The sequence below is a fragment of the Homo sapiens genome, chromosome 19 (genome assembly GCF_000001405.40).
Source record: "Homo sapiens chromosome 19, GRCh38.p14 Primary Assembly".
Classification (NCBI taxonomy): Eukaryota; Metazoa; Chordata; class Mammalia; order Primates; family Hominidae; genus Homo; species Homo sapiens.
The window spans coordinates 45,071,291-45,095,880 of record NC_000019.10 but is presented as its reverse complement, the minus strand read 5'-3'; the positions used below and the strand labels follow the sequence as shown (position 1 = coordinate 45,095,880).

The following is a 24,590-nucleotide window of genomic DNA, read 5'->3' as shown; positions in this document are numbered from 1 at the left end:
CAATAGCCAGGGGGCATTCTGACTGTGCCCGGGTCCCAAACTAACCACCTATCCCTGGGGCCTAGAGCCCAAGGACTTGGCTGGCTCCTAGTGCCAAAACTCTTTTTTTTTTTTTTTTTTTTAAGACCGGGTCTCTGTCACCCAAGCTGGAGTTCAGTGGCGCAATCACAGTTCACTGCACTATCGACCTCCTGGGCTCAAATGATCCTCCCACTTCAGCCTCCTGAGTTGCTGGGACTACAGGCGTGCACCACCACACCTGGCTAATTTTCGTATATTTTGCAGAGACGCGGTTTCACCTTGTTGCCCAAGCTGGTCTTGAACTCCTGGGCTCAGGTGATCTGCCCACCTTGGCCTGACAAAGTGCTGGGGTTGCAGGCATGAACCATGGCGTCCGGCCCAAAAGTCTTAATTTAACCACTGCCTCTTTAAGAATAACTAGCCAGCCGGGCACGGTGGCTCATGCCGGTAATCCCAGCACTTTGGAAGGCTTAAGTGGGCAGATCACCTGAGGTCGGGAGTTCGAGACCAGCCTGGCCAACATGGTGAAACCCCCAACTCTACTAAAAATACAAACATTTTTAGCCAGGTGTGATGACAGGTGCCTGTAATCCCAGATACTGAGGAGGCTGAGGCAGGAGAATTGGCCTGGGCGACAGAGGGAGACTCCGTCTAAAAAATTATAATAAGTAGCCAAACTGTCATTCATGATGGACTCCCTGTGTGTTCAGTTTCCAGTTACCATGTTTCCCACCCTCACATCAAAGCCACCAATTCCTCCATTGTCCACAGACTGGCAATAGTTTCTCCCCTTGCCCAGGGCCGGCAGATCAGCTTCTACAGAACCACGGCCACCACAGCCAGTCTGATCCCTCACTTCATGGGCTCCACCCCAGGAGAACTGACAGACTTCTCCAGCACAAAATGGACTCAACACTGCCCTGCATGTCCCAAGCGACTTTCCACTTTCCCAGCCCTATGGCTCCAACACACTCCTTTCAGCTCCAACACTGACCTGACCCTCTCCAGTGCGCTGGCCCTCTCTCCCAACACTTCAAGTAGCCAACTTTTTCATCTCTCTCACCTGCTACTGGCCAGCAACTCCAATTTCTGACTTGATAACATCCCCCAATTCTTTTTTTTTTTTTCTTTGAGCCGGAGTTTTGCTCTTGTCACCCAGGCTGGAGTACAATGTCGTGATCTTAGCTCACTGCAACCTCCACCTCCCGGGTTCAAACGATTCTCCCTGCCTCAGCCTCTTGAGTAGATGGGATTACAGGTGTGCACCACTATGCCCGGCCAATTTCTGTATTTTTAGTAGAGACGGGGTTTCCCCATGTTGGCCAGGCTGGTTTTAAACTCCTGACCTCAGGTGATCCACCCACCTTGGCCTCCCAAAGTGCTGGGATTACACGCCTGAGCCAATGCACCCGGCCATCCCCCAATTCTTTCTCAGGAAGGAACAAGAGGACCCTTCCGTAGCCATGTCCCAAACATCCTCTGCTCCTGAATGACTGACAGCCTTCCTTCTGCTTCTCTTTTTTTTGGAGGAGGAGGCGGCGGTAGGCGTTGGCTTTTCTTCTTAATACCACATTGCAGCAGGCGGCGGTGGCTCACACCTGTAATCCCAACACTCTGGGAGGCCAAGGAGGGAGGACAGCTTGAACCCAGAAGTCCGAGACCAGCCTGGGCAATGTAGTGAGACCTTGTCTCAATAAAAAAGAAAACATAAAAACCACACTGCCTCTTTCTCCCTCACCCAACCACAAATTGACCACCACCTCTGCTCCTCTTCTGGGACCTTATCTTGACTCCTTTTTACCAAGTCCTCTATAGCCACAGTCCAAGTTTATAGTCTCCCTCTTTCCAGCCAAGAAAGTGGCCAACACGACCACTCCTTGCCCCAAGGCTTGCAGACCAGCAACTTAACCTCTTTTTACCCCCATAGACCCATCAAACTCTTTCAACTGCCCTTTCAGGCCCAGTGTTGACCCGCTCCTCCTCTCAACTGCTCCTTCTCTCCTTCTCTGGTGGAACTACGAACGCAAAGGCTGCCACACTCTACATCTGACAAAACACCAAACTTTCTTTAATTGCTCATCGTTTTAAACCCTAAAACGATCACCATCTTTGTCTCGGGTGGGTGGGGTGCGGCAGAAACCAGATACTTTTCACCTTCCCAACTCCATAGCCACCCCCTTTCTAACAGACTACGGTTCTAAACTGACGACTGTCCCCTTATTCACCATTAGGTGCAATCTATTGAACGCCACCTCGAGCCGGGCCCTGCACCGATCCCTCCCGACTCCCGGGTCCCTCTCGAGCCCGCCCCCGCTTCACCCGCGGTAGCTACCATGTCTCCAGGGGTCTTTGGGCTCCACTGCTCCAGACACGATATCCTCGTCGGACGGGAATGTGACGCGCTTGGCTGCAGCCTTGAGGCGCCCATCGGCGGGGGGCGACGCGGGGCTGGGAGACCCGGCCTCAGCTGGGGCCTCTTCAATGTCGCCGTCCGCGCCCGGCACGGGCGGCGCCTCCTGCGGCGCGATCTCCATAGCCGCCGCCGCCTCCTCACGGGGGCCCCGGGGACATGCCCCGGGCCCCGGATTTGTCTCTCCGGGTCCGCCCGCCGTCCCGGGGCATGGGCTCCGCCGCCGCTTCAGGCGCCGCCTCCGTCCGCTCTCCTAGTGGTCGTAGTCGTCGCCGCCGGGAGCCCAAGCGCGCCTCCGCCGAGCCCCGCGCGCGCCTGCCCGTTCGCAGTCACACTTTCGCTCGAGGCTGGCGAGCCCGCCGCTTACTATAAGAAGCAGAAAATCGATTTCAGCGACTTGCACGTAGAGTTGTCCCGCGGGTGACATGAAGAGAGAAACAAAGGGCAGGAAGGGCCACGGAAAAAAGAAACGTGAGCAGCGAATCTGCAGAGCCGGAACTGCAGACTATGAGGGGCGGGGCGAAGTAGACGCCGTCTCCAAGAGCAGCGCGCAAGCGCGAAGCTGAGCCCACGCCTTCCTGCCGGAGTCCAAATAACGAATATTCAGCTCCCGCACATTCGTCAAGAGCCCAGGGAATGGAGTGCATAGAACTGAAAACACCTGGCGGGGCGCGGCGGCACACGCCTATAATCCCAGCACTTTGGAAGGCTGAGGCGGGAAGATCGCTTGAGTCCAGGAGTTCGAGACCAGCCTGGGCAACATAGCAAGGCCCCGTCTTTACAAAAAATTTAAAAATTAGCAGGGTCTGGTTACAGGAGCCTGTAGTTCCAGCTACTTGGGAGGTGGGAAGATCGCTTGAGCCCGGTAGGTTGAGGCTGCACTGAGCTATGATCGCGCCCCTGCACTCCGACCTGGTAGACAGAGCCAGACCCTGTCTCAACGAAAGGAAAGAAATGGGCCGGGCGCGGTGGCTCACGCCTGTAATCCCAGCACTTTGGAAGGCCGACACGGGCGGATCACGAGGTTAGGAGATCGAGACCATCCTGGCTAACACGGTGAAACCCCGTCTCTACTAAAAATACAAAAAATTAGCCGGGCGTGGTGGCGGGCGCCTGTAGTCCCAGCTACTCGGGAGCCTGAGGCACGAGAATGGTGTGAACCCGGGAGGCGGAGCTTTTAGTGAGCCGAGATCGTGCCACTGCACTCCAGCCTGGGCGACAGAGCAAGACTCCGTTCCCCCCCCCCCAAAAAAAACAAAGGAAATAAATGAAAACATTGAGGCTAGACTAACTGATGAAGAGTGGTAACGGCATGAAGAAGTCGAAAAGAAAGGCGGATAGGAGCTGCATTCAATATATGAGTGCAGTTGATGGATGCTGACAGGGATACTCTGGAGACGAAGTCTCGGCCCCTTCGCTAGTCTCTAGTCCTCCATTTGCTCGCTGCAGTTACATCAACAGCTCTCTGTATCGGGGTAGAGTTGCATAAAATACAACTTAAATTACAATGCTAAAATAAATATGAGCCCATGAGCGGTATCATAGGCCTGATTTTAAAAAACAAAACCTAGGAGAAGGTAGAAATTCCAAAGGCGAGAGACGAATCTGCCAACCTAAATCCTGGGTGACAAGGCTGGTGGATCACCGAGGCAAGAAAGAACCAGCGTGAGCTCAAGCCACACCCCTAGGCTCAGACCCAACGCTTGACATTCGCCGCCGCACTTTCGCCACGCTTGCCGAAGCGCACCCGGCTAACTAGAGGAGGCGGGGCTGAAACCATAAAAGGGAACTGGGGCGGAGCGAGCTGCGTCGTCGCCAAGGCAACTCGAGAGCTAAGTCCGGGCCTCGGCGGAGCCGGCGCTGCGAATGGACTGATGGCCGCTGAGGCTGCTCCTGGCGCGGTTCATCATCGGCCGCCGCACTTTCGCGACTGAGACGAAACGACACTCACCTTTACTTAATGGAAGGCTTCGCTTACATCCTGAACTTAAAGGAACTACAGAAAGGGACAGAAACTGCTTTCTTTTTAAACAATGCGCTGAAAGGTTACTAGTGATAGGAGGCTTAGTGAAGCGCGTGATGTGAACGGCCACGCTGCAAGGCTGGAGAGAAAAGAGGAGGGAGTGAAGTTGCACCCTGATCGCGAATCCTCGGCCTTTTATCAGGGGCGCCGCCACTCGGGGTCCGACCATTCGCCTCCAACGAGGGGACAGCGAATCTGCTGTCGTGTGCAGTCCACAGCAACCACAGGTGGGGCAACAGGAGGAGCGCTTGGGCACGACCACGTGACCCAGCACGAGCCACCGCCCGCCCCAAAATGAAATCAAATCCTAATCTCCCAATCCCGGCATGCCGGTCACTCCAGCCTTTCCAGGAGACTTGCGGCCGTGCAGCCCCTACACCTTTATCTGGACTCCTGTCGTACTTGGCCCAGCTCCACTGGATTCAGCCCTTGGATAACCACCCTACCAGCCCCTAAAGATGACTCCATCCCCGTCGGTATAGTTAATTAAAGAAAAACAGGAGTCGAATTTTCCTGGGGTAACTGGTTCTTTAGCAGGAGGGGAGCACTGGGGAGTATCTTCAGGGTGGCTGGACTTTGCAGCCTCTTTAATAACTTCCCCCTGTGCAGGTTGTATCCTTTATCACCCCACCCCGATGCCCCGGTCTTCAGGAAATGGCAGCAGGCCCATATTTCTGTAGGGTTCAGAGTTCTGTGAGGTAGAGCATTCCTTCCAATGGGATCTTAGAATTCCTAGAGTTGCAGAATTTTACTGACTAGACCCAGGAGGTCTCAGGAGTCCAGACTTGCTTAAAGCTTGGCTCAAAATTCCAAGGGAGCTCATAACTCCATGGGGCCCAGAGTTCCTGGCTCGGGAACATTGGGAGGCCTGGGATACAGTGCCTTAGCCTCAAGCAGAAAAGTGAACACAATATCTTTATGGCTTGAAGGTATATGAAATAATGTCACTACATCGGAGCAGCGCCTCTGCTTGCACACCTATGGGAGTCTGCAGCTGTGACACGTAGAAGTTGGCCACATCCAGGTCGGTGGCTCCAAAGTGGGCGGCCACACGCACACCCTCGTGCAACGTGAAGCTCACCTGATGACCCACCATGGCCAGCAGGCTGCGGAGGTAACGCTCCCGAAGGGCGGCTCGTGCCCGCTGCTCCTGGGATTCCAGGGATTCTTGAGCTATGGGACACTCCTGGATTTCAGGAACCTCTGGCCTCAAGGGGGCTCTGCGTCCATCAGGGGCAAAGCCACGGCTGAAGCCATCAGGGCCCCGGGGCAGCCGGAGCACAGGCACGGGAATGTTCACTGGAGTTTGCATTGTCTTGGCTGTTGAGTGAAGAAAAAGAGCAGGAAGTCATTACATGGTAAGCATGGGGCTAATGGAGGAGGGAGGAGTGGAAGCAGAGGCTGGTCTACCAGGCAGCTCCACTGCACCTGCCCCAGACTGATCCACCCTCCTAAAATCTGTGCCATCGTCCCCCAATGGCTTGGATCAGAAACAAAAGTGTCACATGCACAAAAACATGAGCCCCGTGAAGGCAAGGACCTTTGTCTGCTTTTATAATGTTTTTATCTCAACTTATAGGCAATAAATATTTGCCAAAAGATGAACCTGGCCAGGCATGGTGGCTCATGCCTGTAATCCCAGCCCTTTGGGAGGCCAAGGCAGGAGGATCACTTTGAAGCTGGGAGTTTGAGACCAGCCTGGGCAATATAGCGAGACCCCATTTCTAAAAATATATATATATATTTTACATTAGCTGGGCTACTCAGGAGGCTGAGGGAGAAGGATTAGTTGAGCCCAGGAGATGGAGGCTGCAGTGAGCTGTAATTGTGCAACTGCACTCCAGCTTGGGTGACAGAGTGAGACACTGTCTCTAAAAAAAAGAATAAACCCCAGCTTTCTCTCACACACAACCCACCCAATCCATCAGGAAATTCTATCTTCTAGATAGATTCCCACTCACACATGAGCTAGCTTGAAAGGGCTCCCAGTGGCCAAATCTGGAATTATTTGAACAATACAATAATGATAGTTACAGATTATAACCCACTGGATAAAACAGAAATCCAGAATCCATACCAATAATAAATAAATGAATAAATAAGGAAGAGAAGGAAAATATAATCCTTACTGTAGACTGGCAAGTAAATAAATATAAAAGGAATAGATGCAAAAATGTGTGGATAGGGCCGGGTGCGGTGGCTCACACCTGTAATCCCAACACTTTGGGAGGCCAAGGTGGGCGAATCACTTGAGGTCAGGAATTCGAGACCAGCCTGGTCAACATGGCGAAACCCCGCCTCTACCAAAAATACAAAAATTAGCCGGGTGTGGTGTCATGCGCCTGTAGTCCCAGCTACTCGGGAGGTTAAGGCAGGAGAATCATTTGAACCCAAAAGGCGGAGGCTGCAGTGAGCAGAGATCGCACCACAGCACTCTAGCCTGGGCGACAGAGTGAGACTCTGTGTCAAAAAAAAGAAAAAAAAAAAAAAGCATGGATGGGAGTTTGATGAAGTATAAGGTATCTACATAGTCTTAACAGACTTATAAGATATTCATTCACTGTAAAGGGCAAACACAAATTTATACTGGAGGAACCTGGTATGCACCCCCTTAACTTAGTGATCAAAGCCAACATCTCCAGGAATGGGACACTAAGAAGGCAGGGCACCACTTCTGTGCTATTCCTTTTCTTTTTTTTTTAAATTTTAAAGAGACAGGGTCTCACTATGTTGCCGAGGCTGGTCTTGAACTTCTGGCCTCAAGTGATCTTCCAGCCTCTGGGCCAAACAAGGACAACAGGGATAGGCATGGTGGCTCATGCCTATAATCCCAGCACCTCAGGAGGCCAAGGTGAGAGGATTGCTTGCGTTCAGGAGTTCAAGAGCAGCCTGGGCAACATGGTAAGACCTCGTCTCTACTAAAAATAAAAAACATTAGCCAGGCTTGACAATGTACTCGTGGAAGTCCCAGCTACTCAGAAGACTGAGGTAAGAGAATCACTGGAGCCCTGGAAGGTTGAAGCTGCAGTGAGCTATGATCGCGCCACTGCACTCCACGCCTGGGCAAGAGTGAGACTTTGTCTTAGAAAAAACAAAAACAAAAACAGCACAACTAACCTGGGCTCTTCAAAAATATTAAAGTCATAAAAGACAAAGAAAGGCTGAGAAAAAAATTGTATAAGGCTGGGAGCAGTGGCTCACACCTGTAATCCCAGCACTTTGGGAGGCCGAGGTGGGCAGATCACTTGAGGTCAGGAGTTCGAGACCAGCCTGGCCAACATGGTGAAACCCCGTCTCTACGAAAAATACAAAAATTAGCCAAGCATCGTGGCGGGCACCTGTAATCCCAGCTACTCAGGAGGCCGAGGCAGGAGAGTCACTTGAACTTGGGAAGCAGAGGTTGCAGTGAGCCGAGATTGTGCCACAGTACTCCAGCCTGGGCGACAGAGCAAGACTCTGTCTCAAAAAAAAAAAAAAAAAAAAATTATATATCTATATATACACACACACACATATTTATTTATTCACAACCTAACACTTCTCACCTCCTCCACTGCCAGCATCCTGCTGCAGCCACAGACACTTCCTGCCTGGAGTACTGTAGTCAACTCCTCACTGGGTCCCTGGCTTCCACCTTCACCCCCCGCCGTCTGCACCCCAACACCCTGTTAATGCCTGAGTCAGATCATATCCCTCCTCTGCTCGGAGCCCTCTTGTGGCTTCTGTCTTAGCTCTGGATCCTGCCGGCACCCTCGTGGTGTACCACGCTTGCTCTCCCCACCCCAGCCACACAGGCCTCCTCGCTGATCCTCAGGCGCGATGCCTGGCAATCCCTTCTTGGGCTCTTGCACTTTCGGTTCCCTGTATCTGCCTGTATCTCCTTTCCCTCCGTGAGTTTCAAGGTGGCCACCTTGCTTTTCCCACTGCTGGATCTCCAGCCCCCAGAAACTGCCTGCCATAGAGACCAATGAGAATTCATGAATGAGCTGGGCATGGCGGCGCATGCCTATAATCCTAGCACTTTAGGGGCTGAGGCTGGAGGATCACTAGAGGTCAGGAGTTCGAGAGCAGCCTGGCCAACATAGTAAAACCCCGTCTGTACTAAAATACAAAAATCAGCCGGACGTGGTGGTGCGTGCCTGTAATCCCAGCTACTTGGGGAGCCTGAGGCATGAGAATCACTTGAACCTGGGAGGCAGAGGTTGCAGTGAGCAGAGATTGTGCCACTGTACTCCAGCCTGGGCAACAGAGCAATACTCTATCTCAAAAACAAACAAACATTGGCTGGGCGCGGTGGCTCACGCCTGTAATCCCAGCACTTTGGGAGGCCAAAGCAGGTGGATCACGAGATCAAGAGTTCAAGACCAGCCTGATCAACATGGTGAAACCCCGTCTCTACTAAGAATACAAAAATTAGCTGGGCATGGTGGCACGTGCCTGTAATCCCAGCTACTCATGAGGCTGAGGCAGGAGAATCGCTTGCACCAGGGAGGCAGGGGTTGCAGTAAGCGGAGATCTCGCCACTGCACTCCAGCCTGGGCGACAGAGCAAGACTCATCTCGAAAAAAACAAACAAACAAAAAACAAAATGAATGAAGAGTGGAGATCCCAGGCCGGTTTAGCTGTGTGACATCAGTAAGAGACAGTTTTCTCTTCCATTGTATGGAAAAATAGCCCCAATTGCTGCCTATGCTGTTATCAGGATTCAACAGGCTCCTGCCAGACAGGGCCTGGCACATTCTAGGTTCTCCATAATAGTGAACTGCTCTTATTGTTAGTATTGCTGTGTGACCTGGGGTAAATGGCTTGACTAATCTGTGCCTCTGTTTCCCCATCTGTAAAACAGAGCCCTAACTCACAGGGCGGGCATGGGGACTAAATTACCTAACTAACCTACCATGTTTGGCACATGTCTGGGACATATGAAGCGCTATGCTATGATGTTGAATGTGTATAGGGAAATGCTGGCCTTGTGGGTGCAGACCTGAGAGAGGAGGACCTAGGTTTTAGCAGCTGCACCACTCCCTGTGGCTTGGTCCTCTCCTCTCTAAACCTAGTGAGGACTAACTGAGCTGAGTGACAAGTGTTGGGTACCCAAGACCCTGGGGCCAGGCACAGAAGGGAGGTGATTGAAATTGTCCTGTTTCTTTTTTTTCCTTTTTTGGAGACAGAGTCTCACTCTGTCACCCAGGCCGGAGTGCAGTGGTGCCACCTCGGCTCACTGCAACCTCCGCCTCCCAGGTTCAAGAGATTCTTGTGTGGCCGGGCGTGGTGGCTCACGCCTGTAATACCAGCACTTTGGGAGGCCAAGGCAGGCGGATCACGAGGTCAGGAGATCGAGACCATCCTGGCTAACAAGGTGAAACCCCATCTCTATTAAAAATACAAAAAATTAGCCGGGCGTGGTGGCAGTCGCCTGTAGTCCCAGCTACTCGGGAGGCTGAGGCAGGAGAATGGCGTGAACCCGGGAGGCGGAGCTTGCAGTGAGCCGAGACCACGCCACTGCACTCCAGCCTGGGCGACAGAGCGAGACTCCGTCTCAAAAAAAAAAAAAAAAAAAAAAGAGATTCTTGTGCCTCAGTCTCCCGAGAAGCTGCGACTACAGACACACACCACCATGCCCAGCTACTTTTTGTATTTTTAGTAGAGACGGGGTTTCACCATGTTGGTCAGGCTGGTCTCGAACTCCTGACCGCAAGTGATCCCCCCCATCTCAGCCTCCCAAAGTGGTGGGATTACAGGCGTGAGCCACTGTGCCTGGACTAACTTGTCCTTTTTCTTATTAGGCTCTTCCTGTCTCTGCACCTGAACTGTGAGCCCCTTGCAAGACAGGACCCTGCAGATAGACCAAGGATGTGAACCAGGGCTACTCAGTCTGGACACTATTGACATTTGGGGCTGGATAATTATCTGCTATGTTGTGGGGGCTGTCCAACGCATAGGTGTAGGGTTTGAGCAGCATCCTAGCCTCTGCCTCCTATTAATAGATGCCAGTAGCATCCCATCTTCAAGTTGTGACAGCCAAAAATGTCACCACTGGTGAACAGTGAATTGGTGAATGTGAATTGCATCTCAATACAGTTTTTTTTTAAAGTCTCCATGAATTGCCAAACGTCTCCTGATGGCCCCAAATGAAACACTGATGCAGACAAACAGGTCACAAAGAGGGAGGAAGGAATAAAGATGGCTATAGAAGACATGAACATAGGCTGGGCACAGTGGCTCCCGCCTGTAAACCCAGAACTTTGGGAGGCCGAGGCAGGCGGATCACCTGAGGTCAGGAGTTTGAGACCAACCTGGTCAACACGGTGAAACCCTGTCTGTACTAAGAAATACAAAAATTAGCCGGGTGTTGGCCGGGCACTGTGGCTCACGCCTGTAATTCCAGCACTTTGAGAGGCCGAGGTGGGCGGATCACCTGAGGTCAGGAGTTCGAGACCAGCCTGACCAACATGGAGAGACCCTGCCTCTACTAAAAATACAAAATTAGCCTGATGGTGCATTTCTGTAATTAGTGGTGGTGCATGCCTGTAATCCCAGCTACTTGGAAGGCTGAAGCAGGAGAATCACTTGAACTCAGGAGGCAGAGGTTGTGGTGAGCCGAGACTGCGCCATTGCGCTCCAGCCTAGGCAACAAGAGTGAAACTCTGTCTCAAAAAATAAATAAATAAATAAAATTAGCTGGGCTGGGCATGGTGGCAGGCTCCTGTAATCCCGCCTACTCAGGAGGCTGAGGCAGGAGACTCTCTTGAACCCGGGAGGCAGAGGTTGCAGTGAGCTGAGATATTGTGCCACTGCACTCCAGTCTGGGTGACAGACTGGGACTCCATCTCAAAAACAAACAAACGCCCCAAAAATTAGCCAGGCATGGTGGCACACACCTGTAATCCCAACTACTCAGGAGGCTGAGGCATAAGAATCGCTTGAACCCGTGAGCCAGAGGCTGCAGTGAGCTGAGGTCATGCCACTGCACTCCAGCCTGGACAACACAGCGAGACTCTGTCTCAAAATAAATAAATAAATAAATAAAATTTTTAATTAATTAATTTTATTTTATTTTATAGAGATGAAGTCGCACTATATTGCCCAGGCTGGTCTCCAACCTGGGCTCAAGTGATCCTCTTGCCTCAGCCTCCCAAAGTGCTGGGATTACAGGTCTAAGCCACCATGCCCAGCCACTAAATTTTAATTTCTTTTTTTTTTTTTTTTTTTTGTGAGATGGAGTCTCGCTCTTGTCGCCCAGGCAGGAGTGCAGTGGCGCGATCTTGGCTCACTACAACGTCCGCCTCCCGGGTTCAAGCGATTCTCGTCACTCAGCCTCCCAAGTAGCTGGGATTACAGGTGCCCGCGACCACGCCCAGCTGATATTTTTATTTTCAGTAGAGACGGGGTTTCCCCATGTTGGCCAGGCTGGTCTTGAACTCCTTACCTCAGGTGATCCACCCGCCTTGGCCTCCCAAAGTGCTAGTATTACAGGCGTGAGCCACCGTGCCCGGCCTAAATTTTAATTTCAGAAAGCAAGAAGCAGCTGGGCACGAGGTGGCTCACACCTGTAATTCCAGAACTTTGGGAGGCTGAGGCAGGTGGATCACTTGAGCCCAGGAATTTGAGACCAGCTTGGGCAACATAGCAAAATCTCGTCTCCAGAAAAATAGAAAAATTAGCTGGGCAAAGGGTGCGCTCCTGTAGTCCCAGCTACTCAGGAGGCTGAGGTGGGAAGATCTAGTGAGCCGGAGGAGGCTGAGGCTGCAGTGAGATGTGATTGCACCACTGCACTCCAGCCTGGGAAGAGTGAGACCCTGTCTCAAACAAAAAAAAAAAAAAAAAGAAGAAGAATTGGAAAAGAAAATGTGAAAAAGAGCTCTCCCTGGGAGGCATCTAAACCTCATCACCCACTCTGCATAATTAGCTGCCAAATCTTACTGATCTCACATGCCCATAGGTGGCCCAAATAGAATCCTCCTTGGCAAAATTGTTTTGGGGATGGAGTCTCACTCTATCCCCCAGGCTGGAGTGCAGTGGTGCAATCTTGGCTCATTGCAACCTCTGCCTCCTGGGTTCAAGCAATTCTCCTGCCTCAGCCTCCTGAGTAGCTGGGATTACAGGTGCGCGCCACCATGCCTGGCTAATTTTTGTATTTTAGTAGAGACAGGGTTTCACCATGTTGGCCAGGCTGGTCTACATCTCCTGGTCTCAGGTGACCCACCCCCAGTTCAGCTTCCCAAAGTGCCGGGATTACAGGCGTGAGCTACCGCGCCCAGCGGGCAACATATTTTCAATTTTAACTTTATTTTATTTTTCTTCTTGGCAAAATACGTAGCAGAGGTCTGCGAACCTTCTCTGTAAGTATTTTACTGTCACTGCTCAACTCTGCCACAGTAGCACAACAGCAGCCATAGACAATATGGAAACAAATGAACATGGCTGTTCTCCAACAAAACCTTACTTACTGGGACACTGAAATTTGAATTTTATATCATTTTTATGCACCAAAGAAAAGTTTTCTAGCCAGGTGCGGTGGCTCACAACTATAATCCCAGCACCTTGGGAGACTGAGGCTGGAGAATTGCTTTAGCGTAGGAGTTCAAGACCAGCCTGAGCAATATAGCAAAACCCCATCTCTACAAAAAAAAAAAAAAATTAGCTGGGCATGGGTAGTGTGCGACTAGAGTCCCAGCTACTAAGGAGACCGAGGTGAGGGGATCGCTTGAGCCTGGTAGGTGGAGGCTGCAGTGAGCCATAACTGTGCCACTGTACTCCAGCCTGGGTGACAGAGTATGAGACCCTGTCTCAAAAAAAAAAAAATTCACTCATCCACATTATCTAGCATTGTTAGCACATCATCTGAGTGCCTGCTCTGTGCATGACCCACATTGGGCGGTCTTGGAAACACGTCTAGGACTGAGAGCCCAGTTCCGCCTTTGTGGGCTCACAGTCCAATAGGGGACACAGACCTGTCCTTAGGCAGTGATGACCCAAAGTGAGTAGGGCTGGAATGAAGGAGTCCAGAGGAGACACCTGACCCAGCCTGGGGGATAGAGGGTAGTTTCAAGGGAGCCCAGGAAAGATCCCTATGATAAGATTACGTTTGAGCATAGACCTGAATGAAATTAGGAATGGAGCCATGTGGAGATTCCAGTCAGAAGGAAGAGCAAAATGCAAAGATCATGGAAAGGGTGGCTTTGGGGCGTAGCAAGGCCAGTGTGGAGGAGGTGGGGGCAGGGACAGAGAGAGTGCCTTGTGGGCTGTGATGACAATTTGGGTCTCTACTCTGAGACTGAAGCCACTGGACAGTTCTGAGTGAAGGATGGGCAGAATCTGGCTTAAGGTCCTCAGGATCCTCTGCCTGCTGCATGGACAATAAACGAGATTGAAGGGAGACACTAGGAACGCAATGAGGAGGTCACTGTAGTGGTCCAGGTGGAAGAAGATGGCGTCTAGTATGGGCTGGGGACAATGGGAATGGGGAGAAGTGGTCAGATTAGGCTATGTTTGAAAGGTCGAGGCTGGGCGCAGTAGGTCACGCCTGTAATCCCAGCACTTTTGAAGGCTGAGGTGGGTAGATCGCCTGAGGTCAGGATGAGACCAGCCTGGTCAACATGGTGAAACCTCTCTCTACTAAAAATACAAAAGTTAGCTGGGTGTGGTGGTGCGTGCCTGTAATCCCAGCTACTCGGGAGGCTGAGGCAGAAGAATCGCTTGAACCCGGGAAGCGGAGGTTGAAGTGAGCGGAGATCGTGCCATTGCATTCCAGCATGGATGACAGAGTGAGACTCCATCTCAAAACAACAAAAACAAACAAAAAAAGAAAGGTCAAGAGCCCTCGGTGATGGACAGGATAAGGGATATATAATTTGAGGGAAAGAGCAGCCAAGGGAGACTCCAAGGTTTTTTTTTTTTTTCCTGACAGGGAAGACCACGTGAATGGAATTAAGGGATAGTTGCATTTTCTAATTTTTTTTTTTTTTTTAAGACGGAGTCTCACTCTTGTCGCCCAGGCTGGAGTACAGTGGCATGATCTCAACTCACTGCAACCTCCGCCTCCCGGGTTCAAGCAATTCTCCTGCCTCAGCCTCCCAAGTAACTAGGACTACAGGCGCGCACCACTGCACATGGCTAATTTTGTATTTTTAGTAGAGACGCGGTTTGGCCACGTTGGCCAGGCTGGTCTCAAACTCCTGATCTGCCTGCTTCAGCCTCCCAAAGTGCTGGGATTACAGGCATGAGCCACCGTGCCCGGCCTTGCATTTTCTAATTTTTTAAAAAGCACATTTACTTATTTATTTACTTTGAGGTGAGGTCTCGCTGTATTGCCCACGCTAATCTTGAACTCCTGGACTCAAGATATCCTCCCACCTCAGCCTTCCGAGAAGCTGGGATTACAGGCCCACGCCAACACGCCCTACTTGCATTTTTTATTTTCTCTGACCACTGTCACTCCAATTTAGTCAGGCCTCACCAGCCCCCAGGGTCTTTCCTGAGCCTAGATTAACACTTGAGTTTCAAGAGAAACCCCCTAGTCTCTAGGGTGAGTACTTACTAAATGACTTAGATAGGATTAGAGTGGCCAAAGAATTCTGTTAAATCCCTGGATAAAATGAAATTAAGGGAGGGCCAGTATAGGGCCTTGTTTTCTCCATCAGGAAAAAAAAAAAAAAAAACAAAAAACAAGGGAGATTTGGTCATATTGATGCAATCCCCATTTTTGTAAAGTGGCCAGTGAAGCTGGCAGGTCAAATCTTTCCTCGGGCTGGGTGCAGTGGTTCACACCTGTAATCCCAGCACTTTGGGAGACTGAGGGAGGCAGATCACCTGATGTCAGGAGTTTAAGACCAGCCTGGCTAACATGGTGAAACCCTATCTCTACTAAAAATACAAAAAAAATTAGCTGGATGTGGTGGCACGCATCTGTAATCCCAGCTACGCAGGAGGCTGAGGCAGGAGAATCCCTTGAACCAGGGAGACGGAGGTTGCAGTGAGCGGAGATCACGCCTCTGCACCCCAGCCTGGGCCACAGAGTGAGACTCTGTTTCAAAAAAAAAAAAAAAAAAATCATTTCCTTGGTGCAAGCTGGAGGGTGGAGGAAGAGGGAGCAAACTCTGGTCCTCACCCGTGCCCCATGTAGAAAGGCAGACTGTGGAGCCAAGGTGTGACCTGATAAGAAACTGGTTTAAGAAAGATCACACAGGGTGTGCCCAGGAGGGTAGAGGCAGGCGTTATCCATTGTCCCTGGTGACCTGGCCCCAGAGGCCTTTATCCTTTCAGTCTCCAAGGCAAGGATTTCCGAAGGTTTCAGGGAAAAATGCCCAAGCCCATCCCCCACGACTTGAAAAACTAGTCTGTTAGATTCAAGAGCCCAACACTTAGGTCAATGGCAGGGGCAGGGGTTTCACAGACCTCCCTCCTGGTGGCCCCGGTGCTCCAGAGAGGAGATCAGCTCAGTGGACAAACATTTGGCCAACTCTTCACAATTGCCAGGGTGTGGAACCAGCTGAGTTGTCAACAGAGAAGCCGCCAGACCTAATTAATTAACCAAGGTGTTGACGTGTCCACAGACACACACACACATACAGACATCATCGGCTGCTGAATCTTGATGCAAATTAGCTAAATGGGGCCACCCGAGAGGGTCAGAACCCCAAGCACAGAATCTCTCCCCTCCCCTTCTCCCCTGGGGCCGGTCAGTTTCCTTTCAATTCCGCCCTGACCACCCATTGCTCTCCTTTTCTTATACTAAGTAGGTCCTCCCGGCCCCCAGGCGTCCACTCCCCACACCGCCCTGGGCGTTCGGACTGGACCTTCTTCCCACCTCCAGGCTCAGACTGAGCGAGCGATTCCGCTCCAGGTAAAGCGGGATGACTGCCACCGATGCTTCTGTTATCGTGGCCATTTATTATTTTCCGGAGGGGAAGTTTTTCTCCTTCTCCCTTCTCCTCACCCCACCCGCGTGGGGCATTCCCGCTGCCGGCGATCGGGATCAAACAGTCCCTGATAGGAGCGTCTGGGGACCAGAACGTCCCTCCAGCCGGCGCTGCAGGCGCGGTCCTACCTCTTTCCGTCACTCAGGGCGTTGCACTGGGGTGAGCGTCCAGAGCTGGGGCCGGGGAGAGGGAACCTGCTGGCGACCCCCCACCACCTTGTACTCACCGAGGTCCGCGGCTACTGGTGTCCCCACTTCCGCCGGCGCCCCCGCTGCAGAGGCCCGGGCAGGCCGCAAGCCGCGGAGCCTGGGTTCCGCCCGCGCCGCCGCCACTGCCCCACGTGGTCGCGGGCTGGCTCGCAGGCTTGGAAGCCAGCACAGCCCGGGTCGCCACCTGGCCCGCGGCTTTGCGGGGCACTTGGGACCGATCTTCCTGCCTGCGAGTTGGGGGCGTCTGGGATGCCCATTTTAGGCAGGAAGAAACTGAGGTTCAGAGAGGGGAAGACTTCCTCCCTGCTGGGTTAAGGGCAGAGCTCGGTCTTTGCATCCCCATCCCCCTACACATACCCACTCCTAACCCCTTGCTTCCAGTGGGAACCCCCGCTCCTCTACAGGAAACCTGGAGATCATGGTTTCAGATGCCGCATACTAAGAAAGTAGCTGGGCTGGATCAGAGGCGGTCATTTTGTCCTCCAGCTCTCCCTGCAGTCCCATTTTACAAAGGGGGAAACTGAGGCCTTGAATGGGGAATATGAACCTCCCTATTCCAGGCCCAGTCAGAATTCACTTTCTCCTTGCGGGGTCCTCTTTACGCAGGGATCCTGTGGGCCTTTGCTTTCCACTAGATCACCAAGGCCTAGTGCCAGGTACACAATTTGGTGCTCTGCAAATATCTGTTGAAAGAATATCATCAGACACATAGTAGGTGCGCAATAAATATTTGTTGACTTAACTATGAACGAGTAGGGGTTGTATTTATGAACAAGACAGACTCCCATCCTGCCTCCTAGAACCTACGTTCTAGTGGGGGTAGAAGGGACAGAATAGGGTAAAATGAGCAAATATGTAAACAAGATCCTTCAGGGTTTGATCAAAGTGATGTATAAAGAATAAAATAGGCCGGGCACGGTGGCTCACGCCTGTAATTCCAGCACTTTGGGAGGCTGAGGCGGGTGGATCACCTGAGGTCAGGAGTTCGAGACCAGCCTGGCCAACATGGTGAAACCCTGTCTCTACTAAAAATAGAAAAATTAGCCGGGCATCTGTAATCCCAGCTACTCCGGAGGCTCAGGCAGGAGAATCACTTGAACCCGGGAGGCGGAGGTTGCAGTGAGCTGAGGTCGTGCCACTGCACTCCAGCCTGGGCAACAAGAGTGAAACTCCATCTCAAAAAAAAAAAAAAAAAAAAAGAGTAAAATAAGGGCAATGGGATAGTGGGTGGCTGGGTTGCCATGGAACTTAAAATTGGGTGGTCTGAGGCTGAGTGCAGTGTCTCACACCTGTAATCTCAGCACTTTGGGATGCTGAAGCAGGAGGAGCGCTTCAAGCCAAGAGTTTCAGACCAACCAGGGCAACAAAGCGAGTCCCTGTCTCTATTTAAAAATAATTTTTTTTGAAAAATTAAAAATTACAAAAAAAAAAAGGGTGATCAGAGGAGGCGGCAGTGAAGAAGAAACCACCTCAGATAACCCTCTAGTTCCAACCTGCCCTACCTCCTTTGACAGATGGAGAAAGTGAGATCCAAGAGGGAACTGGGGACAGATGGAGGTCATGGAGTGTAATTTGCAAGGCCTTCAGCAGGGTGGGGCTACTTTAGATACTGTTGGTCAGGGCCCTCTGCTCTCAGGAGGACAATGGAACCCAGACCTGAATAACAATGTGCAGAACTCCAAGAGATCAGCATCTGAAATCAGCATCTGGGCTGAGGACAGCTGGGGGAGGACAGGTTCTTGCCCTGACCTCAGGGGGCTTGCATTGGGTGGGGGAGAGGACAGTCCACAAGCCGTTCTATACTGTCGTGCAGTCGGTGCCAGGAAGAAAAGAATACTCATCAGGGATTGAGGGTGGGGCAGGGTGTCGATGCCACTTCAAACAGTGAGCAGACAGAACTGCTTAGGGGAGGGAAGTTCAAGGAGGCGGAGTGGAGGCAGGTGAGCTGCTTGGCTATTTGGTTTTAATGGCGACTTCTGGTCTAGGAACAGAGTCGATGTGTATGATTACAGTCCTCCTCTGCTCAAAACCCTCCTAAGGCTCCGGTCTCAGGAAAACCAAAAGACCTTAAAGCGATCAAAAGATTGCTTGGATCTGCCCCCATATTTTCACTGAACTCAATCCCCAACCCGTATTGCCTCTCCCTTTCCTTGTAATTCCTCAATGCCCAGGCCCACTGGCTGGGCTTCCTTCCCTCCAGCCTCAGCTCCACCATGCCCTTTCCCATCATAGGGGAGAAAATTGAATCCCTCAACCCCAGTAACCCTCTCCGCCTTTCCAGCTTTCTTTTGCTCCATGGCACTGGTCATCATGAAGGGCCATCTATATTTTACGTAATTATGTTTATAGTGTCTTCCCCCACCGTCTGAACTCCGTGCAAACAAAGATTATCTTCTGTTTATTCCCTCCTGTATTCTCAGGGCTTCAAACAGAGCCTGGCGCACAGGAGGCACTCAGTGAATGCTTGCAAAATGAATTTTTATTGTAATGCATTTAATGAAATAGCCCAGATTACTATCAGGCACCTAATAAGAAACGTGACCGACTATTTTTCTCGCTTGGGGGTGCGTGTGGGCATGCCGTGTCTCAGTTTCACCCGCCCTAAAACGGGATCAGGGATAGCTGTTTCAATGCCTTGTGGGAACTCGGTGTGATTAAATTTGGTCACTAAGCCAAACGCACGGGACACTGCCTAGATTGAGTTAGGCCGCCGTCAGGGCCCCAGCAGGGCGGCTCGGTCCCCTCCCATGAGCCCCGCCCTGGTAGGCGGAGCCACGGGCCCGGCCAGCACGTGTAAGAGTTCGCGGCGGGTCGCCGCAGTCACTCACCTGAGCGCGCACGGTCCGCGCGTCCTCCGCTCGTGCGTCCTCCGCCCGCCCGCCTGCCTGCCTGCCCGCCCGCTCGCTCGCCCGGCCCGCGACTCATGTCCCGCCGCAAGGCCGGCAGCGCGCCCCGCCGAGTAGAGCCCGCGCCCGCCGCCAACCCAGACGACGAGATGGAAATGCAGGACCTCGTCATCGAACTCAAGCCCGAGCCAGACGCGCAGCCCCAACAGGCCCCAAGGCTGGGGCCCTTCTCCCCGAAGGAGGTGTCCTCGGCGGGGCGGTTCGGCGGCGAACCCCACCACTCCCCTGGCCCCATGCCCGCCGGGGCCGCCCTCCTCGCCCTCGGCCCGCGGAACCCGTGGACCCTGTGGACGCCGTTGACCCCGAACTATCCCGGTGAGCACCCCGGGCCCTGGGCCCAGCCTCCCTTACCTTTGACCCTCGGGTGGGACCCTTCCCTTTGGGCATGGGCCCCTCGCCCTGCCTTATCTCCTTCGCCCCGTCCTGCCCCTCAGGCCCCCTTCTGACCTTCGGTTTCCCCTCTCCTTCAGCACCCTCAGCCCCCATCCTGGCCCCACCCCACGCTCACCACCCGCTTCCTCCCTGCAGACCGCCAGCCCTGGACCGACAAACACCCAGATCTGTTGACCTGCGGCCGCTGCCTGCAGACCTTCCCGTTGGAGGCCATCACTGCCTTCATGGACCACAAGAAGCTGGGCTGTCAGCTCTTCAGAGGCCCCAGCCGCGGCCAGGGCTCAGGTGAGTAAAGCCGGGTGCAGTCCCCCTCTCAAGTTCGAGGGCTGGGCTTCCTGCTGGAAAGGGGCTGGGCTGGACGGCAGGGCACTGAGCACTACTTCCCCTTTCTCGCTCCCCATCGGGTGCAGCCTAGGCGTGGCCAGGGCCTGCCCGTCCTAGGGCAGGGACCAGTGGTGGCGGTGGAGGGGGGGCGGGGGGGGACTGGGCAGGGAAGGAGGGCCGCCTACAGGGTGTGGCCAGCCCCAGAAGACTAGCCCGGGATTTTGCCCCCCCCAACACACACCCCAACCTGGTTTCACTTCTCCTTCCCCTTGGCCAGAAATAACTGGCCAGGTGGCTGGACCAGGGTGGCAGTAGGAGGGGACCTCTAGGGAGGGCAGCGGCCGGGGGGAGGGGGAGTGGAGGCCAGCTGGAATGGGGAGGTTGCCACCCCCTCCTGTCTCTCTCTGTCAATTCTGATTGAGGTGCTAGTACAGCTGAGTGTTCAGAGCCAAGGAAGGGGCTTCTGGCTTCCCTCGGTGATGGAATCTCCCAGCCCCGCGTGCTGGGAATCCCCTGGTTTGAGCGAGCTCCCGGGTGCTGGACACCCGGGTTCCTTCTCTTGGGAGGGAATTAAAAGCCTTCACATGGGGCTTGACCCTCGGTGAGCTTTTGGTCAGTGTTGGCTGCAGGGCTTAATCCAAACCTAGTTTCCAGCCCCCTGGCCCTTGCCCTTCTGAGACTTTTGAGAAGTGGAATTATTTAGGGTTGGGCCAGGGAGGGTCTGGTGGTGGGAAAGAGGAGGGGCTTGTGACTGATTGAATCAGCTTTAGAGCTGGAGCATGGAGAGTGGCCTGGAGGAGCGAGCGAGGGGCTGTGATGGAATCGCTGGAACAAAACACTACAGGGCTTGGAGAATCATGGGCACCTTGGTTTCACAGGCTCTGCTGTTTGAGCGCTTATGTGGACCAAAGCTCTCAACCATTCCCCAAGCGAGGTCACAACCACCCTTGAAAGGGAGGGGATCTCTAGGGTCCCTGAATTCTAGCAACTGAGGCACACAGAGGACTATGTCTTGCCCAAGGTCACACAATTAGGGAGCAGAGAAGTCTGAATTTGAATGCAGGCCTGTGCTCTTGACCCAGGACTGGTTGTATCACAAAGGTTGTCCCATCCAAGACTCTAGAATTTGAAAAATGGAAAGGCTAGTTCACCTAGGAAGTGTCCACTGAGAGTACCCCGAAGGTCCAGATAGAAATCCAAATTCAGGTTTGGGGGCTCAATTTGAGATCCATGCAGAGGGTGGGGGACCCAGGTCACTACCACCTCTTTACTAGGTGGCCGCTAAGCTTTCTCTGTAGCTACCCCATTATTTTGAGGTGGAGTCTTACTCTGTCACCCAGGCTGGAGTGCTGTGGTGCAATCTCAGCTCACTGCAACCTCCGCCTCCCAGGTTCAAGTGATTCTCCTGCCTCAGCCCTCCAAGTAGCTGGGACTACAGGCGTGCACCACCATGGCCAGCTAATTTTTGTATTTTTGGTAGAGACAGGGTTTCACCATGTTGACCAGGCTGGTGTCTCAAACTCCTGACCTCAGGTGGTCCACCTGCCTTGGCCTCCTGAAGTGCTGGGATTACAGGCATGAGCCACCATGCCCAGATATCTCAATTACTTTAAAAATTATTTTTATTAAACCAAAAAAAATTTTTTTTTTTGAAACAGAGTCTCGCTTTTGTCACCCAGGCTGGAGTGCAGTGGTGGGATCTCGGCTCACTGCAACCTCCGCCTCCTGGGTTCAAGCGATTCTCCTGCCTTAACCTCCCAAGTGGCCGGGATTACAGGCGCGCACCACCACACCCGGCTATTTTTTATTTTTACTAGAGACAGGGTTTCATCATGTTGGCCAGGCTGGTCTCAAATCCCTGACCTCAAGAGATCAACCCGCCTCAGCCTCCCAAAGTGCTGGGATGACAGGTGTGAGCCACCGTGCCCGGCCTAAACCAAAAATCTTATTCAAAAGCCTCTGCTCCCAGCCAGGTATGGTGGCTCACGCCTATAATCCCAGCACTTTGAGGGGCTGAGGCGGAAGGATTACTTGAGGCCATTAAGTTAAAGAATAGCCTGGGCGGCCGGGTGCGGTGGCTCAAACCTGTAATCCCAGCACTTTGGGAGGCTGAGGCGGGCAGATCATGAGGTCAGGAGATCGCGACCATCCTGGCTAACACGGTGAAACCCTGTGGCGTGGTGGCTGAGGCAGGAGAATGGCGTGAACCCCGGAGGCAGAGCTTGCAGTGAGCCGAGATCGCGCCACTGCACTGCAGCCTGGGCGACAGAGCAAGGCTCCGTCTCAAAAAAAAAAAAAAATAGCCTGGGCAACATAGCAGGACCCCATCTCTTTAAAAAATACTAAATTAAAAATTTAAAGCAAAAAAAAAAAAGCAAGCAAGCCTCTGTTCTGCCCTCTCCCCCTCCCCCAGTAGTCTGGATTGAAATCCCAGCTTCACCCCTTCCAAGCTGTGCAACCCTGGGGAAATGCCTCTCTGTGCCTCAGTTCTCCTGTCTGGAAAATGGAGATCTTATTTTCCTGTCCTGAGGGAAAGCCGGGCTATGAGCCATGGCTCAGCACCTAGCATGTAGGAAGCGCTTACTGAGTTAACATAACTTTTTAAAAGATTTTCAAACACATGGCCCAGCACAGTGGCTCATGCCTATAATCCCAGCACTTTGGGAGGCCGAGGTGGGTGGATCACTTGAGGCCAAGAGTTCGAGACCAGCCTGGCCAACACGGTGAAACCCCCATCTCTACTAATTAGCCAGGCATGGTGGCGGGCGCCTGTAATCCCAGCTACTCTAGAGGCTGAGGCATGAGAATAGCTTGAATCCAGGAGGTGGAGGTTGCAGTGAGCTGAGATCGTGCCACTGCACCCCAGCCTGGGCGACAGTGAGACTGTCTAAAAAAAAATGTTTTCAGGTACTTAGCACCCACTCCACAGATTTTTCGTGTCCACCCCTCCTCTGAGCGTCAGCTTCCTGGTCCTTCCAGGGTGTGTGTGTCTTGTTACTGCCAAGTCCTTTGCCCCTGCAGGAGTGCCTATCCCACAGAAGGTGTCCAGCTGGCAGCTGTCCGCACTAACACTCTGCCTCTTTTTCTTACCAGAACGAGAGGAGCTGAAGGCCTTGAGCTGCCTGCGCTGTGGCAAACAGTTCACAGTGGCCTGGAAGCTGCTGCGTCACGCCCAGTGGGACCACGGACTGTCCATCTACCAGACAGAATCAGAGGCCCCGGAGGCCCCGCTCCTGGGCCTGGCCGAGGTGGCTGCAGCCGTGTCGGCAGTGGTGGGGCCAGCAGCTGAGGCCAAGAGCCCCCGTGCAAGTGGCAGCGGCCTCACCCGGCGGAGCCCCACCTGTCCTGTGTGCAAGAAGACCCTCAGCTCCTTCAGCAACCTCAAAGTGCACATGCGCTCACACACAGGCGAGCGGCCCTATGCTTGCGACCAGTGTCCCTACGCCTGCGCCCAGAGCAGCAAGCTCAACCGCCACAAGAAGACCCACCGGCAGGTGCCGCCCCAGAGCCCCCTCATGGCCGACACCAGCCAGGAGCAGGCCTCTGCAGCCCCTCCGGAGCCGGCTGTCCATGCTGCTGCCCCCACCAGCACCCTTCCATGCAGCGGTGGTGAGGGGGCTGGAGCCGCCGCCACAGCAGGTGTCCAGGAACCCGGGGCTCCTGGCAGTGGGGCTCAAGCCGGCCCTGGTGGAGACACTTGGGGAGCCATCACCACGGAACAAAGAACTGACCCTGCAAACAGCCAGAAGGCATCACCCAAAAAGATGCCCAAGTCAGGGGGCAAGAGCCGCGGGCCCGGGGGCAGCTGTGAGTTCTGCGGGAAGCATTTTACCAACAGCAGCAACCTGACGGTGCACCGGCGCTCACACACCGGGGAGCGCCCCTACACCTGTGAGTTCTGCAACTACGCCTGCGCCCAGAGCAGTAAGCTCAACCGCCACCGCCGCATGCACGGCATGACGCCTGGCAGCACCCGCTTCGAGTGCCCCCACTGCCATGTGCCCTTCGGCCTGCGAGCCACCCTGGACAAACACCTGCGGCAGAAGCACCCTGAGGCGGCCGGCGAGGCCTGAGCCCAGGAAAGCCCCCCTCACTGTCCCTGGTACCGCTGCCAACACCCATTGACCTCCTCGTTTTTGCCCGCCTTCTCCAAGTAAATTTTCCCTTTTATTTACACCCGTCTGGACTCTGGCTTTCTTGGGGTGCATGAGGTGGGGCAGGAGGCTTCCCCTCCGTGGGGTGGACGGCTGGACAGACCGGTTTGGAGTGAGGGGGTGAGGGAACGGCCAGCCCCCAGTGCCTGGGGCGCAGCAGGACTGGCACAGAAAGCTGCGCTCCCAGTTCCTAGTGCGGGCGAGGCCAGGGCAGGGGCTGAGGCGAGGG

At 53.4% G+C, this 24,590-nt stretch overlaps 3 protein-coding genes and 1 long non-coding RNA gene across 9 annotated transcripts in view, besides 14 other annotated features; 2 read left to right on the top strand and 2 right to left on the bottom strand.

Annotated features, from left to right (window-relative positions):
• The window catches only part of PPP1R37 (protein phosphatase 1 regulatory subunit 37), a 54,107-nt gene extending 51,405 nt beyond the window's left edge, over positions 1 to 2,702 (bottom strand). The window contains exon 1 of the mRNA NM_019121.2: positions 2,354 to 2,702. Within this exon, the coding sequence (NP_061994.1) occupies positions 2,354 to 2,555 (202 nt within the window). The 5' untranslated portion in view covers positions 2,556 to 2,702. The remainder of the gene's footprint in view (positions 1 to 2,353) is intronic.
• Positions 2,420 to 2,629: a silencer, noted in NCBI's record as "silent region_10754". NCBI's record gives its function as "represses an Ori minimal core promoter by ATAC-STARR-seq in GM12878 lymphoblastoid cells {active_cell/tissue: GM12878}" and the evidence as "EXISTENCE:reporter gene assay evidence [ECO:0000049][PMID:35858748]".
• Positions 3,050 to 3,099: an enhancer, noted in NCBI's record as "active region_14780". NCBI's record gives its function as "activates an Ori minimal core promoter by ATAC-STARR-seq in GM12878 lymphoblastoid cells {active_cell/tissue: GM12878}" and the evidence as "EXISTENCE:reporter gene assay evidence [ECO:0000049][PMID:35858748]".
• Positions 4,100 to 5,094: an enhancer, noted in NCBI's record as "H3K27ac-H3K4me1 hESC enhancer chr19:45594045-45595039 (GRCh37/hg19 assembly coordinates)". NCBI's record gives its function as "activates a minimal SCP1, AML or CMV promoter by ChIP-STARR-seq in naive H9 embryonic stem cells {active_cell/tissue: H9 hESC(naive)}" and the evidence as "EXISTENCE:reporter gene assay evidence [ECO:0000049][PMID:30033119]".
• Positions 4,147 to 4,331: a silencer, noted in NCBI's record as "fragment chr19:45594808-45594992 (GRCh37/hg19 assembly coordinates)". NCBI's record gives its function as "represses an EF-1alpha promoter that drives an FKBP-Casp9 reporter gene in an ReSE screen in HepG2 liver carcinoma cells {active_cell/tissue: HepG2}" and the evidence as "EXISTENCE:reporter gene assay evidence [ECO:0000049][PMID:32094911]".
• On the bottom strand, positions 4,363 to 20,254 carry GEMIN7 (gem nuclear organelle associated protein 7). 6 transcript variants are annotated; one of them, NM_001319055.2, is made up of 3 exons: positions 20,059 to 20,254; positions 15,852 to 15,974; positions 4,363 to 5,774 (listed from the first exon to the last, which is right to left on the bottom strand). In NM_001319055.2, the coding sequence occupies exon 3, from the start codon at positions 5,764 to 5,766 to the stop codon at positions 5,371 to 5,373; it is 396 nt and encodes a 131-aa protein (NP_001305984.1). In that variant the 5' UTR covers positions 5,767 to 5,774; positions 15,852 to 15,974; positions 20,059 to 20,254; the 3' UTR covers positions 4,363 to 5,370. The 6 variants fall into 6 exon arrangements, with proteins under 6 accessions (NP_001305984.1, NP_078983.1, NP_001007271.1 ...); NM_024707.3 differs by lacking the exon at positions 20,059 to 20,254 and adding an exon at positions 16,504 to 16,621; NM_001007270.2 differs by lacking the exon at positions 20,059 to 20,254 and adding an exon at positions 16,602 to 16,621.
• Positions 4,440 to 4,489: an enhancer, noted in NCBI's record as "active region_14779". NCBI's record gives its function as "activates an Ori minimal core promoter by ATAC-STARR-seq in GM12878 lymphoblastoid cells {active_cell/tissue: GM12878}" and the evidence as "EXISTENCE:reporter gene assay evidence [ECO:0000049][PMID:35858748]".
• Positions 5,095 to 6,090: an enhancer, noted in NCBI's record as "H3K27ac-H3K4me1 hESC enhancer chr19:45593049-45594044 (GRCh37/hg19 assembly coordinates)". NCBI's record gives its function as "activates a minimal SCP1, AML or CMV promoter by ChIP-STARR-seq in primed H9 embryonic stem cells {active_cell/tissue: H9 hESC(primed)}" and the evidence as "EXISTENCE:reporter gene assay evidence [ECO:0000049][PMID:30033119]".
• Positions 5,095 to 6,205: a biological region, named in NCBI's record as "H3K27ac-H3K4me1 hESC enhancer GRCh37_chr19:45593049-45594044".
• Positions 5,490 to 10,552, top strand: GEMIN7-AS1 (GEMIN7 antisense RNA 1). The gene is made up of 2 exons (NR_134887.1): positions 5,490 to 5,812; positions 10,241 to 10,552. It is a non-coding gene; the product is annotated as a GEMIN7 antisense RNA 1 (long non-coding RNA).
• Positions 6,032 to 6,205: a silencer, noted in NCBI's record as "fragment chr19:45592934-45593107 (GRCh37/hg19 assembly coordinates)". NCBI's record gives its function as "represses an EF-1alpha promoter that drives an FKBP-Casp9 reporter gene in an ReSE screen in K562 erythroleukemia cells {active_cell/tissue: K562}" and the evidence as "EXISTENCE:reporter gene assay evidence [ECO:0000049][PMID:32094911]".
• Positions 14,073 to 14,838: an enhancer, noted in NCBI's record as "H3K27ac-H3K4me1 hESC enhancer chr19:45584301-45585066 (GRCh37/hg19 assembly coordinates)". NCBI's record gives its function as "activates a minimal SCP1, AML or CMV promoter by ChIP-STARR-seq in naive H9 embryonic stem cells {active_cell/tissue: H9 hESC(naive)}" and the evidence as "EXISTENCE:reporter gene assay evidence [ECO:0000049][PMID:30033119]".
• Positions 15,607 to 16,374: an enhancer, noted in NCBI's record as "NANOG-H3K27ac hESC enhancer chr19:45582765-45583532 (GRCh37/hg19 assembly coordinates)". NCBI's record gives its function as "activates a minimal SCP1, AML or CMV promoter by ChIP-STARR-seq in primed H9 embryonic stem cells {active_cell/tissue: H9 hESC(primed)}" and the evidence as "EXISTENCE:reporter gene assay evidence [ECO:0000049][PMID:30033119]".
• Positions 16,544 to 16,803: a silencer, noted in NCBI's record as "silent region_10753". NCBI's record gives its function as "represses an Ori minimal core promoter by ATAC-STARR-seq in GM12878 lymphoblastoid cells {active_cell/tissue: GM12878}" and the evidence as "EXISTENCE:reporter gene assay evidence [ECO:0000049][PMID:35858748]".
• Positions 19,207 to 19,616: a silencer, noted in NCBI's record as "silent region_10752". NCBI's record gives its function as "represses an Ori minimal core promoter by ATAC-STARR-seq in GM12878 lymphoblastoid cells {active_cell/tissue: GM12878}" and the evidence as "EXISTENCE:reporter gene assay evidence [ECO:0000049][PMID:35858748]".
• ZNF296 (zinc finger protein 296) lies at positions 19,403 to 24,381 on the top strand. Its single transcript, NM_145288.3, has 3 exons — positions 19,403 to 19,805; positions 20,019 to 20,168; positions 23,301 to 24,381. The coding sequence occupies exons 1-3, from the start codon at positions 19,508 to 19,510 to the stop codon at positions 24,278 to 24,280; spliced, it is 1,428 nt and encodes a 475-aa protein (NP_660331.1). The 5' UTR covers positions 19,403 to 19,507; the 3' UTR covers positions 24,281 to 24,381.
• Positions 19,707 to 19,946: a silencer, noted in NCBI's record as "silent region_10751". NCBI's record gives its function as "represses an Ori minimal core promoter by ATAC-STARR-seq in GM12878 lymphoblastoid cells {active_cell/tissue: GM12878}" and the evidence as "EXISTENCE:reporter gene assay evidence [ECO:0000049][PMID:35858748]".
• Positions 20,277 to 20,586: a silencer, noted in NCBI's record as "silent region_10750". NCBI's record gives its function as "represses an Ori minimal core promoter by ATAC-STARR-seq in GM12878 lymphoblastoid cells {active_cell/tissue: GM12878}" and the evidence as "EXISTENCE:reporter gene assay evidence [ECO:0000049][PMID:35858748]".
• Positions 24,382 to 24,590: the final 209 nt, after the last annotated feature.